General features: G+C 41.6%; 1 protein-coding gene across 1 annotated transcript in view; it reads left to right on the forward strand.

Annotated features, from left to right (window-relative positions):
* The window catches only part of LOC105376722 (uncharacterized), a 31,396-nt gene extending 13,788 nt beyond the window's left edge, over positions 1–17,608 (forward strand). Inside the window, exons 3-5 of the mRNA XM_047433431.1 lie at positions 15,406–15,596; positions 16,215–16,274; positions 16,460–17,608. Coding sequence (XP_047289387.1) covers positions 15,406–15,596; positions 16,215–16,274; positions 16,460–16,624 — 416 coding nt within the window. The 3' untranslated portion in view covers positions 16,625–17,608. The remainder of the gene's footprint in view (positions 1–15,405; positions 15,597–16,214; positions 16,275–16,459) is intronic.

Consider the following 17,632-nt stretch of genomic DNA (forward strand, 5'->3'; position numbering starts at 1 on the left):
CTGATCTCTGGCTTCTGAAAAAATACAATCCAGTGTTTGGGTTTTGGAGCCAGTCTGAGATAGATTTGAATCTTGGTTCTACTACTTATTAGCTGTATGCCCTTGGGCAGATTCCCTAATTGCTCTATGCATCAATTTCCATTTGCAAAATGGGGGAACCGGTAATAGTATTAGTACCTATGTTTCTAGGGAGCTATGAGGATTAAATGAGTTGGTACATGTAAACCATTTAGAACAGTGCCTGGTGCTTAGCCCATCCCCATCACTATTCACTTTTGTCATAGTCTACCCTCACACTTGATTGATAGTTTGGTTGATTATGTATTTCTAGGTTGAGGATAATTTTACCTTAGAATTTCAAAGTCTGTGCTGTTGTCTTCTAACCAGTCATGGTGGTGAAGCCTCATGCCATCCTGAGTTTCACTCATTCATGCATGACTTTCTCTCTGGAAGCTTTTAGGAGTTTGTCTTTTCCTTGGTGAGCTGAAATAGCCACAACATTGTACTTAGTGTGTGTCTTTTTTCATTCACTGTGCTGGGTATACCGAATGGATAGGCCTATGGATCGGCTCTTTCAAAGTTGGAATCTTGAATCTTGTCATATTTTTGTTAACTTTCTCTTTTCCACTTTATTTGTTCATTCTGAAGTGTCTGTTAATTGGATTTTAGTCCTCTTGTCTTGAGACTTGTATGTCACATTATTTCTAATTTTTAAAAAAATTTTAAGTTCTGGAATATTTTTCTTATATTTTGACTTCTAGGAAATTTTATTTGGACAATCAACGTTAAGTTTTGTTTTGGTTATTTATTGTTGCTTAACCAATTTTCCCAAAACTTAATGGCATAAAACTATACATTTGTCTACCTGTCACTACTGTATGGGTTAACTGAGGATAGCTGGACAGTTTTTCTGCTGGTCTCGTTTGGCATCTCTCACTGTGCGGTTAGATGGTGTCAGGCACTGGTCATCTGGATGCTCAGCTGCAGTGGAATGTCTGAGACGGCTTCTTCACCCACAGGTCACCTGCTTTGGTGTTTCTTCATGTGGCCTTCCTCTCTGGCCTCATCATATGGCTTCTCTTTCCCCGAGAGATTAGTCAGTACTTATTTTGGCTACTAGAAGCGCAGATGTGGAGCTGCCAGGTGTTCTTAAGGCTTAGACCTGGAACAGGTCCAGTGTCATTTCTACCTAATTCTGTAGGTTAAAGTGAATCTTGGGGCCAACCCAGATTCACTGTGGGATGGGACTGTCCAAGGACATGATGCTGGGAGGTGTGGCTCACTGGGGACCAACTCCCAAGATGAACCCTGAGTTCTAAGAACTTTTTCTTCTCTGATTATTCCTTATTCATATTCTATTTTTGTTTTATTCATGTAATATATTCACAAGTGTCTTTATGAAGTGATTTGGATACTCTTTTGTCTTCTCCCTAGCATCTCTTTGTTCTTTAATAAATTTTTTTCTTAGTTTATTTTGGTCTTATTTTTCTTTTTAAAACCTTTCCTTAAATATCTATTCTATGTTGCTTATCATTTGTAGTCTTTTTTTTTTTTTTTTTTTTTGAGACGGAGTTTTGCACTTGTTACCCAGGATGGAGTGCAGTGGTGTGATCTCGGCTCACCACAACCTCCTGGGTTCAAGTGATCCTCCTGCCTCAGCCTCCTGAGTAGCTGGGTTTACAGGCATGTGCCACCATGCCCGGCTAATTTTTGTATTTTTAGTAGAGACAGGGTTTCTCCATGTTAGTCAGGCTGGTTTTGAATTCCTGACCTCAGGTGATCCACCCACCTTGGCCTTCTAAAGTGCTGGGATTAAAGGCATGAGCCACCGTGCCCAGCCTGTATGTTCTTTTTAATTCCCTTTTTTGTTCATTCATATTTGAGAGAGGTACTAAAAGACTGGGAGGCTGGACGTGGTGGCTCATACCTACAATTTCAGTGCTTTGGGAGACTGACGTGGGAGGATCACTTGAGCCCAGGAGCTTAAGACTAGTTGGGGCAACATAGTGAGACCCCACCTTCACAAAAAATAAATTTAAAAAATAGCCAGGTCTGGTGACACCAACCCGTAGTCCCAGCACTTGGCAGGCTGAGGCAGGAGGATCACTTGAGCCTGGGATGTTGAGGCTGAAGTGGGCTGTGATCATCCTGCTGCATTCCTGCATTCCAGCCTGGGTGAAAGAGCAAGACCCTGTCTCAAAAACATAAATAAATAAATAAATATATAAAAAAATAAATAAAAATAGAAATAAAAAATTGGGAGTTCTTCATGGCCAAGACTTGCCAACTGATAGCTTTTAGGGGGAATGTATGCTGATTCCTAATTGTCATCCTCTACCCCCCTATCTTATCTCCCGGTGCAATCATAAATGATGGCTGGAACTACTCCATTTCTCTGGAGGTGAAATCTACATTCTCTTGTCTGAGGTAGATATGTTTGCTTGGGTTCTGCTTAAGGAGATGGGGGAGAGCAGTGTGTTTCAGGGCCTGGAAAATGTGTTCTCTATATAGGCTTTTGGTTAATCTCTGTTTTCAGTCTTGCCTGTCAGTCCCACTCTCGGGGGTACCTGGTGTCTGAGTCTAGAACCTTTCCAGGTTGCTGTGGGACAAATTAGCTTCCTTGTTATCGGTGTCCCCCTGACCTCCACTTTGCTTTGCTTTGCTCCATTAATTAACCATTTTCCATTTACTGTCATTTTCTAATGGAGGTGAATTCTCTTCTGTGGGTAACCCCATTTCTTTTTTTTGTAATTGTGTGTTTATATATTGTTTATTCTTCACTGTATTTCTAGTGGAGCCTCAGGACAAAGAGCAGATGGTGGAAATATGTGTTCAGTGTTCAGTTTTTTTCTGTAAGACATCTGCAACTTGTGTTTTTCACTGAATATCACGTGGACTTAATGCATATAGAGCTACCTTGTTTTTCATGATTGTGCCTACAATTCTATGGAGAAATATAATTTGTGAATTACCTGATGAAATTTTCCTAATTTCGAATCATCCTTGCATTCCTATAATAAACACTGTTAGAATGGCTATGGTAATATTTTATTTTTGCATTTTTATTTCTGTATTAAATAAGATTATAGTTTTGTTTGTTTCCTTTCAGTTTCGTATTTCATTTCAGTATCAACGGTGTGCAGGGCTAACTCGGGAAGCTTTACATCTTTTTCCTAAGACCTAGGATGTAGATCTAGTTTACACAGTAGTTTTCAACTGCAGGAATATTTTGCCTCCCATGGGACATTTGGAAATATCTGGAGACATTTTTGTGGTCACAACTGGTCACGGTCGGGAGGTCTTATTGGCATTCCGTGGGTAGAGGGGATGTTACTAAATGTCCCACAACACACCAGGAGAACCCTCACAAAGAATTGTCTGGCCCAAGATATCAATATTGCTGAGGCTGACAAACCCTGGTTTAAATAAATGTCCAATTTGGAGGATGAGTCTGTCTTTTTCCTTCTTCTGCGTATTGGTCTCCAGATTTTCCATTTCTTCAGTTAGTTTTCGTAACTGTAGATTCTTAAAAGAAATGAACACTTCTCCCATACTTGTAAGGTGTTGTAAAGATGTGTAAAGTTTTCACTTTTTGCATCATATTCACATGTGGCTATATGCCCTTTTCTCTTCAAAGGTTTCTTTATCTTGATCACTTATCAGAGGCGTGACTGTTTCATTATCTTAGGCTTTTGAAAGAATCCTCCTTTAGTTTTATTTTTTAAATTTAGTGAGTTTTTTTCTCACATTTTCCTTATGTCTTAATTATTTCCCCTTTTTGTTTATTTTGCTTTTTCTAGTTTAGTGGATCAATGTAATTTAAATTGCTTTTTAAACAAACCTGTAATGGTATACATTTTCTTTGGGTGCTGTTTGACTTTATTGCACAAGTTTTTTAAATTTATTTTTTATTATACTTTAAGTTTTAGGGTACATATGCACAACGTGCAGGTTTGTTACTTATGTATACGTGTGTCATTTTGATGTGCTGCACCCATTAACTCTTCATTTAAAATTAGGTATATCTCCTAATGCTATCCCTCCCCACTCCCCCCACCCCACAACAGGCCCCAGTGTGTGATGTTCCCTTTCCTGTGTCCATGTGTTCTCATTGTTCAATTCCCACCTATGAGTGAGAATATGCGGTGTTTGGTTTTTTGTCCTTGCGATAGTTTGCTGAGAATGATGCTTTCTAACTTCATCCATGTCCCTACAAAGGACATGAACTCATCATTTTTTATGGCTGCATAGTATTCCATGGTGTGTATGTGCCACATTTTCTTAATCCACTCTATCATTGTTGGACATTTGGGTTGGCTCCAAGTCTTTGCTATCACGAATAGCGCTGCAATAAACATACGTGTGCATGTGTCTTTATAGCAGCATGTTTTATAATCCTCTAGGTATATACCCAGTAATGGGATGGCTGGGTCAAATGGTATTTCTAGTTCTAGATCCCTGAGGAATCACCACACTGACTTCCACAATGGTTGAACTAGTTTACAGCCCCACCAACAATGTAAAAGCATTCCTATTTCTCCAAATCCTCTCCAGCACCTGTTGTTTCCTGACTTTTTAATGATTGCCATTCTAACTGGTGTGAGAGGGTATCTCATTGTGGTTTTCATTTGCATTTCTCTGATGGCCAATGATGATGAGCATTTTTTCATGTGTCTTTTGGCTGCATAAATGTCTTCTTTTGAGAAGTGTCTGTTCAAATCCTTTGCCCACTTGTTGATGGGGTTGTTTGTTTGTTTCTTGTACATTTGTTTGAGTTCTTTGTAGATTCTGGATATTAGCCCTTTGTCAGATGAGTAGATTGCAAAAATTTTCTCCCATTCTGTAGGTTGCCTGTTCACTCTGATGGTAGTTTCTTGTGCTGTGCAGAAGCTCTTTAGTTTAATTAGATCCCATGTGTCAATTTTGGCTTTTGTTGCCATTGCTTTTGGTGTTTTAGACATGAAGTCCTTGCCCATGCCTATGTCCTGAATGGTATTGCCTAGGTTTTCTTCTAGGGTTTTTATGGTTTTAGGTCTAACATTTAAGTCTTTAATCCAACTTGAACTAATTTTTGTCTAAGGTATAAGGAAGGGATCCAGTTTCAGCTTTCTACATATGGCTAGCCAGTTTTCCCAGCACCATTTCTTAAATAGGGAATCCTTTCCCCATTTCTTGTTTTTGTCAAGTTTGTCAAAGATCAGATAGTTGTAGATAAGTGGCATTATTTCTGAGGGCTCCATTCTGTTCCATTGGTCTATATCTCTGTTTTGGTACCAGTACCATGCTGTTTTGGTTACTGTAGCCTTGTAGTATAGTTTGAAGTCACATAGTGTGATGCCTCCAGCTTTGTTCTTTTGGCTTAGGATTGACTTGGCGATGCAGGCTCTTTTTTGGTTCCATATGAACTTTAAAGTAGTTTTTTCCAATTCTGTGAAGAAAGTCATTGGTAGCTTGATGGGGATGGCATTGAATCTATAAATTACCTTGGGCAGTATAGCCATTTTCATGATATTGATTCTTCTTACCCATGAGCATGGAATGTTCTTCCATTTGTTTGTATCCTCTTTTATTTCATTGAGCAGTGGTTTGTAGTTCTCCTTGAAGAGGTCCTTCACATCCCTTGTAAGTTGGATTCCTGGGTATTTTATACTCTTTGAAGCAATTGTGAATGGGAGTTCACTCATGATTTGGCTCTCTGTTTGTCTTTTATTGGTGTAAAAGAATGCTTGTGTTTTTTGCACATTGGTTTTGTATCCTGAGAGTTTGCTGAAGTTGCCTATCAGCTTAAGGAGATTTTGGGCTGAGACAATGGGGTTTTCTAAATATACAATCATGTCATCTGCAAACAGGGACAATTTGACTTCCTCTTTTCCTAATTGAATACCCTTTATTTCCTTCTCCTGCCTGATTGCCCTGGCCAGAACTTCCAACACTATGTTGAATAGGAGTGGTGAGAGAGGGCATCCCTGTCTTGTGCCAGTTTTCACAGGGAATACTTCCCGTTTTTGCCCATTCAGTATGATATTGGCTGTGGGTTTGTCATAGATAGCTCTTATTATTTTGAAATACGTCCCATCAATACCTAATTTATTGAGAGTTTTTAGCATGAAGGGTTGTTGAATTGTGTCGAAGGCTTTTTCTGCATCTATTGAGATAATCATGTTGTTTTTGTCATTGGTTCTGTTTATATGCTGGATTACGTTTATTGATTTGCGTATGTTGAACCAGCCTTGCATCCCAGGGATTAAGGCCACTTGATCATGGTGGATAAGCTTTTTGATGTGCTGCTGGACTCAGTTTGCCAGTATTTTATTGAGGATTTTTGCATCAATATTCATCAAGGATATTGGTCTAAAATTCTCTTTTTTGGTTGTGTCTCTGCCAGGCTTTGATATCAGAATGATGCTGGCCTCATAAAATGAGTTAAGGAGGATTCCCTCTTTTTCTGTTGATTGGAATAGTTTCAGAAGGAATGGTACCAGCTCCTTCTTGTACCTCAGGTAGAATTCGGCTTTGAATCCGTCTGGTCCTGGACTTTTTTTGGTTGGTAAGCTATTAATTATTGCCTCAATTTCAGAGCCTGTTATTGGTCTATTCTGAGATTCAACTTCTTCCTGGTTTAGTCTTGGGAGGGTGTATGTGTCCAGGAATTTATCCATTTCTTCTAGGTTTTCTAGTTTATTTGCATAGAGATGTTTATAGTATTCTCTGATGGTAGTTTGTATTTCTGTGGGATCGGTGGTGATATCCCCTTTATCATTTTTTATTGCGTCTATTTGATTCTTCTCTCTTTTCTTCTTTATTAGTCTTGCTAGCAGTCTATCAATTTTGTTGATCTTTTCCAAAAACCAGCTCCTGGATTCATTGATTTTTTGAAGGGTTTTTTTGTGTCTCTATTTCCTTCAGTTCTGCTCTGATCTTACTTATTTCTTGACTTCTGCTAGCTTTTGAATGTGTTTGCTCTTGCTTCTCTAGTTCTTTTAATTGTGATGTGAGGGTGTCAATTTTAGATCTTTCCTGCTTTCTCTTGTGGGCATTTAGTGCTATAAATTTCCCTCTACACACTGCTTTGAATGTGTCCCAGAGATTCTGGTATGTTTTGTCTTTGTTCTTGTTGGTTTCAAAGAACATCTTTATTTCTGCCTTCATTTCGTTATGTACCCAGTAGTCATTCAGGAGCAGGTTGTTTAGTTTCCATGTAGTTGAGTGGTTTTGAGTGAGTTTCTTAATCCTGAGTTCTAGTTTGATTGCACTGTGGTCTGAGAGACAGTTTGTTACAATTTCTATTCCTTTACATTTGCTGAGGAGTGCTTTACTTCCAACTATGTGGTCAACTTTGGAGTACGTGTGGTGCTGAAAAGAATGTATATTCTGTTGATTTGGGGTGGAGAGTTCTGTAGATGTCTATTAGGTCCACTTGGTGCAGAGCTGAGTTCAGTTCCTGGATATCCTTGTTAACTTTCTGTCTCATTGATCTGTCTAATGTTGACAGTGGGGTGTTAAAGTCTCCCATTATTATTGTATGGGGGTCTAAGTCTCTTTGTAGGTCTCTAAGGACTTGCTTTATGAATCTGGGTGTTCCTGTATTGGGTGCATATATATTTAGGATAGTTAGCTCTTCTTGTTGAATTGATTCCTTTACCATTATGTAGTGGCCTTCTTTGTCTCTTTTGATCTTTGTTGGTTTAAAGTCTGTTTTATCAGAGACTAGGATTGCAACTCCTGCCTTTTTTTTGTTTTCCATTTGTTTGGTAGATCTTCCTCCATCCCTTTATTTTGAGCGTATGTGTGTCTCTGCATGTTAGATGGGTTTCCTGAATGCAGCACACTGATGGGTCTTGACTCTTTATCCAATTTGCCAGTCTGTGTCTTTTAATTGGGGCATTTAGCCCATTTACATTTAAGGTTAATATTGTTATGTGTGAATTTGATCCTGTCATTATGATGTTAGCTGGTTATTTTGCCCATTAGTTGATGCAGTTTCTTCCTAGCCTCGATGGTCTTTACAATTTGGCATGTTTTTGCATTGGCTGGTACCAGTTGTTCCTTTCTATGTTTAGTGCTTCCTTCAGGAGCTCTTTTAGGGCAGGCCTGGTGGTGACAGAATCTCTCAGCATTTGCTTGTCTGTAAAGTATTTTATTTCTCCTTCATGTATGAAGCTTAATTTGGCTGGATATGAAATTCTGGGTTGAAAATTCTTTTCTTTAAGAATGTTGAATATTGGCCCCCACTCTCTTCTGGCTTGTAGAGTTTCTGCAGAGAGATCAGCTGTTAGTCTGATGGGCTTCCCTTTGTGGGTAACCCAACCTTTCTCTCTGACTGCCCTTAACATTTTTTCCTTCATTTTAACTTTGGTGAATCTGACAATTATGTGTCTTGGAATTGCTCTTCTTGAGGAGTATCTTTGTGGCATCCTCTGTATTTCCTGAATTTGAATGTTAGCCTGCCTTGCTAGATTGGGGAAGTTCTCCTGGATAATATCCTGCAGAGTGTTTTCCAACTTGCCTCCATTCTCACCGTCACTTTCAGGTACACCAATCAGATGTAGATTTGGTCTTTTCACATAGTCCCATATTTCTTGGAGGCTTTGTTCATTTCTTTTTATTCTTTTTTCCCTAAACTTCTCTTCTCACTTCATTTCATTCATTTGATCTTCAGTCACTGATACCTTTTCTTCCAGTTGATTGAATTGGCTACTGAGGCTTGTGCATTCATCACGTAGTTCTCATGCCATGGTTTTCAGCTGCATCAGGTCCTTTAAGGACTTCTCTACATTGGTTATTCTAGTTATCCGTTTGTCTAATTTTTTTTCAAAGTTTTTAACTTCTTTGCCATTGGTTCGAACTTCCTCCTTTAGCTCGGAGTAGTTTGATCTTCTGAAGCCTTCCTCTCTCACCTCGTCAAAGTCATTCTCCACCCAGCTTTGTTCCATTGCTGGTGAGGAGCTACATTCCTTTGGAGGAGAAGAGGCGCTCTGATTTTTGGAGTTTCCGGTTTTTCTGCTCTGTTTTTTCCCCATCTTTGTGGTTTTATCTACCTTTGGTCTTTGATGATGGTGACGTACAGATGGGTTTTTGGTGTAGATGTCCTTTTCTGTTTGTTAGTTTTCCTTCTAACAGTCAGGACCCTCAGCTGCAGGTCTGTTGGAGTTTACTGGAGGTCCACTTCAGACCCTGTTTGCCTGGGTGTCAGCAGCGTTGGCTGCAGAACAGCGGATATTGGTGAACTGCAAATGCTGCTGCCTGATTGTTCCTCTGGAAGTTTTGTCTCAGAGGAGTACCTGGCAGTATGAGGTGTCAGTCTGCCCCTACTGGGGGGTGCCTCCCAGTTAGGCTAATCTGAGAACAATAAAACAATTTGAAACAAAAATGTCTCCAGGTCTCTTAAAAGGAAGCTGGGGCAGCTTTCTGTAGCGCACTTCCCAAAAATGGGCTGATTTACCTCAAGAGGCAGGGATTCTAGCCTACATGGGATACATACAGGAGAAAAAAATCAGAAAAAGAAAAGAGATTTAAATTAAAAAATGAAAATAACAGTTCTCCCTCATTATAAAGGAAATCATTCTTTTTGTAATAATTTAGATGACAAATATTAAGAAAAATCTTAAATTTGCCACTCAAAACATTCTGGTTTGTTGCTTTTTATATGTTTTTCTGCACATAAACCTTTTAAAAAGTAGAATCACAATATGTAGTCTTTTGTCACTTACTATATTTTGGGCATATTTCTGTGGCAGTAAATATATCCTGGCATCATCATTTTTAATAGCTGGATGTATATTAAGTTAATCACTGCCACCCCAGAGGTGAATTTTCTTATACATTCATTTTAATGGGCTCGAGCAAACATTTTTGGACTGAATTCATAGAAGTAGAATTTCTGGAGGAAAATAATTTTTAGGGTTTTTAATAGAAATTTTCAAATCATTCTCCAGGAAAAGTGACTCCGGTTATACTCCCACCAACAAGGACAGAGCTCCAGGTTCCCCTTTCCATTTGTCATCTTTCCTGCCTTTATACAGAAAATCTCATTGTTTTCATGACATTTCTTCGATTTCTTGTGCTTTTGAATCTTTGTATATGCCATTGGCCATTTTTATTCTTGTGAGAAGTGCCAGTTTCTCCATTGCCCATTTTGGTTGAAAATCATTTGTTTTTTATCTCAGTAATTTTAAAGATTTCTTTATAGTCTAAGGATACAAGCCTTTTATCTGTCATTGAGGTGACAAAACTTTCTCCCAGTAAGTAATTTGTCATTTCATTTTTTCTTCCTTCTTTTCTTTTTCCTTTCCTCTCCCTTTCTTTCTTTTTCTTTCTTTTTCTTTTCCTTGTTTCTTTCTTCTTCCTTCCTTGCTTTCCTTTTCTTTCTTGCTTTCTATTCTTGCTTTCTTTTCTTTTCTCTCCATCCCTCTTTCTCTTTCTTCTTTCTTTCCTCTTTCTTTCTTTCCCTCTCTTTCTTCCTTTCCTTTCTTTCTCTTTCTTTGTTCCCTCCCTCCCTCCTTCCTTCCTTTTTTTTCTTTCTTTCACTAGCCAAGCTCCAAAGTCACACATCACTTAATTTTTATCCTGCCAAATTTGAAAGCCTTTTAACTTCGTGATTTTAGTGTAAACAGGAGCAGGAGAAAATATAATTATCTAAGTCTCGCTGTGTCACCCAGACTGGAGTGCAGTGCCATAATCATAGCTACTGCAGCCTTGAACTCCTCGCCTCAAGCAATTTTCCCACCTCAGCCTGCCAAGTAGCTAGGACTACAGCTATGTGCCACCACACCCAGCTAATGTTTAAAAATTTTTGTGGAGATATGAATTCTCTATGCTGCCCAGGCTAGTCTTGAACTCCTGACTTCAAGTAATCCTCCCACCTCGGCTTGCCAAAGTGCTGGGATTACAGGTGTCAGCTACTGCTCCTGACCGAGAGTTTAGTTTTGTTTGCTAGTGGTGTTCTTGGTATCTTTTCATATTTGAGGTTTTGGGCTAGTGCTGAAGTATTACACTCACCATCCGAGGTCTACAGGACTTTTGGTTTAATATTGAACAGATGGAACTGTTTAGTTCTGCATCTTTGCAGGTATACAGAATGTGCCTACCAGGAATCTGCTTTATATCCATTGAAAGCAAGAAATAATACAGTAAAACTTTGCCTGGCTAGAGGCTTTGAAAGAATGGCGTATTCTGGTTTAATTCTATTACTTTGGAAGTATAAAGGTGAAAAAAATTCAAAACTTAAATTTCCTGTTGAATGCAATTTGAAAATATGGCCAATGATTCCACTTTTCTTCTCTAGTAAGGTTGGACATTCTGATCTACTTGGTGTTTTATTATAGAACTGCTAGTGTGCGTGAGTCTTACATTGTGAAGATACTTTTTTAAAACTTGAGATGTAAGAGGATGTAAACGGTTTTGTAGGAGATCAGGCTGGATGAGAACGGACACTTGTAAACATACTTTTTAGACTAAATCTCTGATTGCCGCTTGTTTTTCTTATGGAACTCATACAAATAAAACACATTGGATGGAGGGTGCGAGTAGGAAGGAGATTCTTGTCTTTTAATTGCATGTCATTGTTTCATAACAAGGCAGAACATATGGTAAACCCTGGCTTTGGACCTACAGAAGGAAACACATTTTACTACCTGCTGTATGCCAGAGGTTCTTGAACACTTGGAGGGATTACTGCAGCACAGATTGCTGAACCCTACTCCAGGGTTCTGATTCACCAGGTCCAGGGTGGGGCCTGAGAATTTGCACTTATAAAAAGGTCTCAGGTGCTGCTGGTGCTGCTAGTCCATAGACTACATTTTGAGAACCACTCTTGTCTATTAAGTGTAAATTGTAGAACTCTAGAAAAAAGCTTAGTTCAGTCTGGGATAAGAAGCACACAGGTTATGGAGAAAATCATGAAAGATTCAACCCTTGATCCCAGCCTAGTGTGGATTTCAGGTAACAAGCAGTACACAGTGACATAACACAATTCTTGGTTTTCATGATTGCAAGTCATAGCCAGGTATCAAGTGAGAAATTCAGTTTCATTTGCAAGGCTTAGAGAGGCCAGGTGATTCTAGAAAAATGGGCCTTGTATTTGTTTTAAACCAGTAAAGAGCTTTAAGTGCTTATTAAATTGAAAGCTTTGTGTTCTTACTTATTTTGTATTTTATTTTATTTTATTTCTTTTGAGATGGAGTCTTGCTCTGTCACCCAGGCTGGAGTGCAGTGGCATGAGCTTGTCTCACTGCAACCTCCATCTCCTGGGTTCAAGTGATTCTCCTGCCTCAGCCTCCCAAATAGCTGGGATTACAGGCACCCACCACCACGCCTGGCTAGCTTTTGTATTTTTAGTAGAGATAGGGTTTCTTCATGTTGGCCAGGCTGGTCTCGAACTCCTGACCTCAGGCGATCCACCCACCTCAGCCTCCCAAAGTGATGGCATTACAGGCGTGAGCCACTGCACCCGGCCCAAAAGCTTTGTGTTTTTAAAGATATTACACATGTTTCTTGTTTTAAAAAAAATCTTAACAATAATGTAGGAGGATAAGACAAACATTTTTCCAAAAAAGAGAAATCATTGTGATTATTTTATCCTCCTGGAATGCTGGATACTATAGTCTGCTTCATTAATCATCAAGCATGCTATGGATTTTCCATTTTTATATGATCTATATCTCAAAAGGTAAAATGTACCAGGTCATGGCCCCCAACCCAGCCACAGATCCCCTCCGATGACAAGACCGGTGCCAGAGTCCATACCACTCCTGAGGCATACCAGACTGGGCCCCCCAACCCCAGCACCTCTGGGCTCCCCCCACCAAAGTCTTCTCAGTCAGCCCCACCCCTTCAGCAAGCCGCTCAGTCCCTGCCCTTGCCAATCACCCCAGGGTGACTTTGGGCGGGTGACTCCTGGGGCTCCTTGCTCCATACTTGGCCCTCACCTTCTGCTGCCCCAAGCCCAACCTCCGTGGGCTCTTTGGGCTTGTGTCTCCCAGGACCTGGGTCCCCCAGCCCCAGGCCCCACCCTCGCCAGTCATCCCTGGGTGACTTTGGGCTGGTGACTCCTGGGGCTCCCTACTGCAGACTCTGCCCTCCCCTCCTGCTGCCACAAGCTCGACCTCCCTGGGCTTCTTGGGCTGGCATCTCCGAGGACCTGGGTCAAAACCCTGTATTTCCCTCCCACAACATGGAGCGGTGACTCTGGCATCGCACTGATGTCCCCTCCCCTGGGAGGAGTGGAATGCAGTGATGTCACAGTGCCCCTAGGAACTGTCATTACTGCTGCAAGACCAGCCTTTGATCTTACAACCCAGTCCCCTAAGTTTTCTCACTCCATTTCTGGTTCCTCTGGTTGCAGCACAAATTGCCAGATGGAAGGGGAGTGGGGACTATGGGACCTATGAGCAAGAAGTTTCAGGCTGCCTTACTCCCTTAACAATGTCTAATTGACAGTGGGAAAAGCTTACACTTCCCCTGTGAGCTCCAAATGTTGACAGTATCTCTGGGTGGCAATGGGAGAATGGGTAAGGTTTGGTTTTCTCACAGGCTTCTACTTTCCAGAGACTTTGACATTTTTTTCCGAGTTCTCCACAGTTCTGGGACCAGACTGCCCTTCAGTCAGTGGTCTCTGAGGTGAGATTTGCCCATCTTCTGTGGAATAGATCTTGGGAAACTGAACTTGAGAGCTTGAATCTTCCTCATATCATCTCAACCTGGGGTACTTTGAGTGTCACAGGATAAATGTGGGACATCTTTCTGAAGCATCATTTTCCCTTGATTCTCTTGAGAAAAAACATTAATGTTCTTTTTTTAAAATTTTATTATTATTATACTTTTAGGGTACATGTGCACAATGTGCAGGTTAGTTACATATGTATATATGTGCCATGCTGGTGCGCTGCACTCATTAACTCGTCATTTAGCATTAGGTATATCTCCTAATGCTATCCCTACCCCCTCCCCCAACCTCACAACAGTCCCCAGAGTGTGATGTTCCCCTTCCTGTGTCCCTGTGTTCTCATTGTTCAATTCCCACCTATGAGTGAGAATATACTGTGTTTGGTTTTTTGTTCTTGCGATAGTTTACTGAGAATGATGATTCCAATTTCATCCATGTCCCTACAAAGGACATGAACTCATCCTTTTTTATGGCTGCATAGTATTCCATGGTGTATATGTGCCACATTGTCTCAATCCAGTCTATCATTGTTGGACATTTGGATTGGTTCCAAGTCTTTGCTATTGTGAATAGTGCTGCAGTAAACATACTTGTTGCATGTGTCTTTATAGCAGCATGATTTATAGTCCTTTGGGTATATACCCAGTAATGGGATGGCTGGGTCAAATGGTATTTCTAGTTCTAGATCCCTGAGGAATCGCCACACTGACTTCCACAATGGTTGAACTAGTTTACAGTCCCACCAACAGTGTAAAAGTGTTCCTATTTCTCCACATCCTCTCCAGCACCTGTTGTTTCCTGACTTTTTAATGATTGGCATTCTAACTGGTATGAGATGGTATCTCATTGTGGTTTTGATTTGCATTTCCCTGACGGCCAGTGATGGTGAGCATTTTTTCATGTGTTTTCTGGCTGCATAAATGTCTTCTTTTGAGAAGTGTCTGTTCATGTCCTTCACCCATTTTTTGATGGGGTTGTTTTTTTCTTGTAAATTTGTTTGAGTTCATTGTAGATTCTGGATATTAGCCCTTTGTCAGATGAGTAGGTTGCGAAAATTTTCTCCCATTTTGTAGGTTGCCTGTTCACTCTGATGGTAGTTTCTTTTGCTGTGCAGAAGCTCTTTAGTTTAATTAGATCCCATTTGTCAATTTTGGCTTTTGTTGCCATTGCTTTTGCCTCATTTCAGAGAGAAGTCTGGTATACGCTTGGAAACTTCTGTGTCTATCATCCCTAAGAACATTACTGTTTATTGAGAGTTTAATAAACATTAATGTCCTTAGGGATGATAGACACATAGATTTCCAAGTGTATAGCAGACTTCTCTCTAAAATGAGGCTTGGGTTGTCCTCTTTCTGATAAATTCCCAGATTTAACAGAAAAGCTGCCTTCTGCCATGAGGACACATTGATATGAAAGTGAGAGGTACTGGTACGCTTCTTCACGCTAACAGACCTGTGAGGATGTATGACTCTAAACCACACGGCCTACAGTTCCTGCCTGCTTAATGTTTACTTTTCTACCTCTGTCCCTGGTTTTGGTCCCTGGAAGCTGCTGATTCATGGCAAAACCCCAGAGCTTGGAGTCAGAAGACTGAGTTTAAGTTCCAGTATTGCCTTTTTCTTTCCTCCTTTTTTTTTTTCTATCCATGATATCAATCCCTCTCAGTCACTAACTGATTGTGACAACACCTTGTACAGTTGTTGGTGGCATTAAACCAGATGGTGTATAAGAGTATTTTGTCAAAACTGTAAAGGAGGATGTGGCTATAGGGGCTGATTGTTCTCATGAGTGTTACTACTCTTCTTTCCCACAGTTAAAAGAATATTGGCAGAGGAAGAGCCCTGGCATTCCAGAAGGAGCTAACAGGAAAAAGAAAATCAATGGCAGTAGCCCTGACACAGCCACTTCTGGTGGTTACCACTCACCTGGGGATGTGAGTCTTGGCTGGCCAGGGTCCTGGGGACAGGGGGCCCAAGGGGCAGTAGAGGGTAATTGTTAAGATTGTAGATGGACTGTTGGGTACTGGTTAAGAATTCTGGGTTTGAATCCTGCCTCTCCGTCTGCTAAGGATTGATTAGGGATTGATTAGCCTATGATTTAGGGTAAGTTGTTTGAGGTCTTTGGGTCTCTCTTTTCACATCTCCATAATAGAGGTGGTATTTTTTGACTTCCATTTGTGAAGTGTAAATGAGATTCGTTATTGTTGCTTTTATGTGAATCCTTAGTACATGGCCTGCTGCAAACACCCAGGACACCCAGGAAATGGTTGTTGTTTGATTTTCCTCATCCCCAGTCTCAAGGGGAAGCCAGGCCAATGAGAAGAGCCACTTGCCATCAGGCTGTCCCTTTAGGAGTCACTGAAAGGGCCCCAGGGTGGGATGGTGGGGAGATAAGAACCATGAGAGAAGTTGGCACAAAGGAGTTATGGGAAAAAGGGTCCAAGATAGGCAGAAAAGAAGCTTTTGCCAGTTGATGGGGAAGAAAGGAAATCAGAGGGCTTAGACAGTGAGGGGGGACAGGACATCTCCATGTGCACTCTCATCGTTTGCAGTCAGCAACAGGTATCTACGGGGAGGGCCGTGCATCATCTGCTACCCTGGAGGATCTGGAGGTAAGAGGCCCTGGGCCGAGGTGCAGTGACCCTGCAGGCTAGCCCTCCAACCTCCTCCCACAGCAGGGGCTTGTTGCCCCTCTGCCAGCTGAGGCAGCCCACACACCCCCACCAGCCCTAATGATTATTCTCTCTACCCCTCCCCACAATCTTCCTCCAACTCCTCCTCTCTGCATGCACCTCAGAGCCAGTACCAAGAACTAGCAGTGGCCCTGGATTCAAGCTCCACAATAATCAGTCAACTCACTGAAAACATCAATTCACTGGTAAGAGTCCAGTGGGGTCCCCTGATTCCAGCCTGTGAATCCTGGACTCCAGTTTCCTCTTGGGGCCCTGAAGAAAGGGGCTAGGAGCCCCTGATGCCAAGGGCAAATGGGGAGCTGGGCACCCAGGTCTCACCTGGAGGGACCCCAGAGCACAGAACATGCAGCATGGCTCTTCTGCACTGCCCTCTTTGCTGACTCTCTCTTCTCCAGACACCCCTGCTCTAGTCCTTGCCACACATGCCCTGGGGTTGTCACCTCTCAGGAAAGCACTAGCCTGACTGGTTTTCAGGGGCCCGTATTTCTGCCCTGCCTCAGTCCCTAATTTGCTTTTTGAGTCTGGACAAGCCATCTCTCCTCCTTAGGCTCGTGTTTCTGGAGGAGGTAGAGAGTATCAAAGGTCACTGTTAGCTCAGAGATTTAAAGGCTCCTAGAATGGAAACCTCAGGACCAAGGGCTCCTGTCTGTCCTTTGCTGTCTTATATCTCTGCTATGAAGAACTGTACCTGGCCTGTACGTGCTCAGTAAATGTTTGTTGAGTGAATGCACCTTTCTCAATCGTAAGCTGGCAGAAGGGGGGTGGGCCTTTCTCAAACTCTGTCTCTAGAGGTTCAGCAGCCCCTCTCTGCAGGGCCCTTTCCCCTCTGCTTTAGGCAGGTTCACACATTGAAAGAGGAGAAGCATGAGATACATCAGGTACAGAAGCTTGGGAGGAACTTGTTCAAACTCAAAAACCAGACGGGTAAGATGGGGCTGCCATGACCTAGGAGCAGGACTGGCATCAGAGGGCTGTGAGGGTGACTTAGAATGCCCCGGGGAGGTGGGTAGATGGAAGGGCTTTGAGGCAGAGGGAAAGAGGTCTGTGCCAGGAGATGGCAAGTCTTGTCATCTCCATGAGCCTCAGTGTCCCTCTCAGTAAAGAGGGAGGAGTGCCCGTTGTCAGCCACCCACAGTGCTATCTGAAAGTGACTTGGAAGATTGGCTACCATCCGGGTGTGAGGAGTCATTAGCAGTGAGGCCAAGTTTGGGAAGCCTGAGAGGAGGAGCTGTGCACCGAAGGGAGGATTTTTTTTTTTTTTTTTTTTTTATCCAGAG

This window comes from Homo sapiens, chromosome 15 (assembly GCF_000001405.40).
Source record: "Homo sapiens chromosome 15, GRCh38.p14 Primary Assembly".
In the NCBI taxonomy this organism is placed as follows: Eukaryota; Metazoa; Chordata; class Mammalia; order Primates; family Hominidae; genus Homo; species Homo sapiens.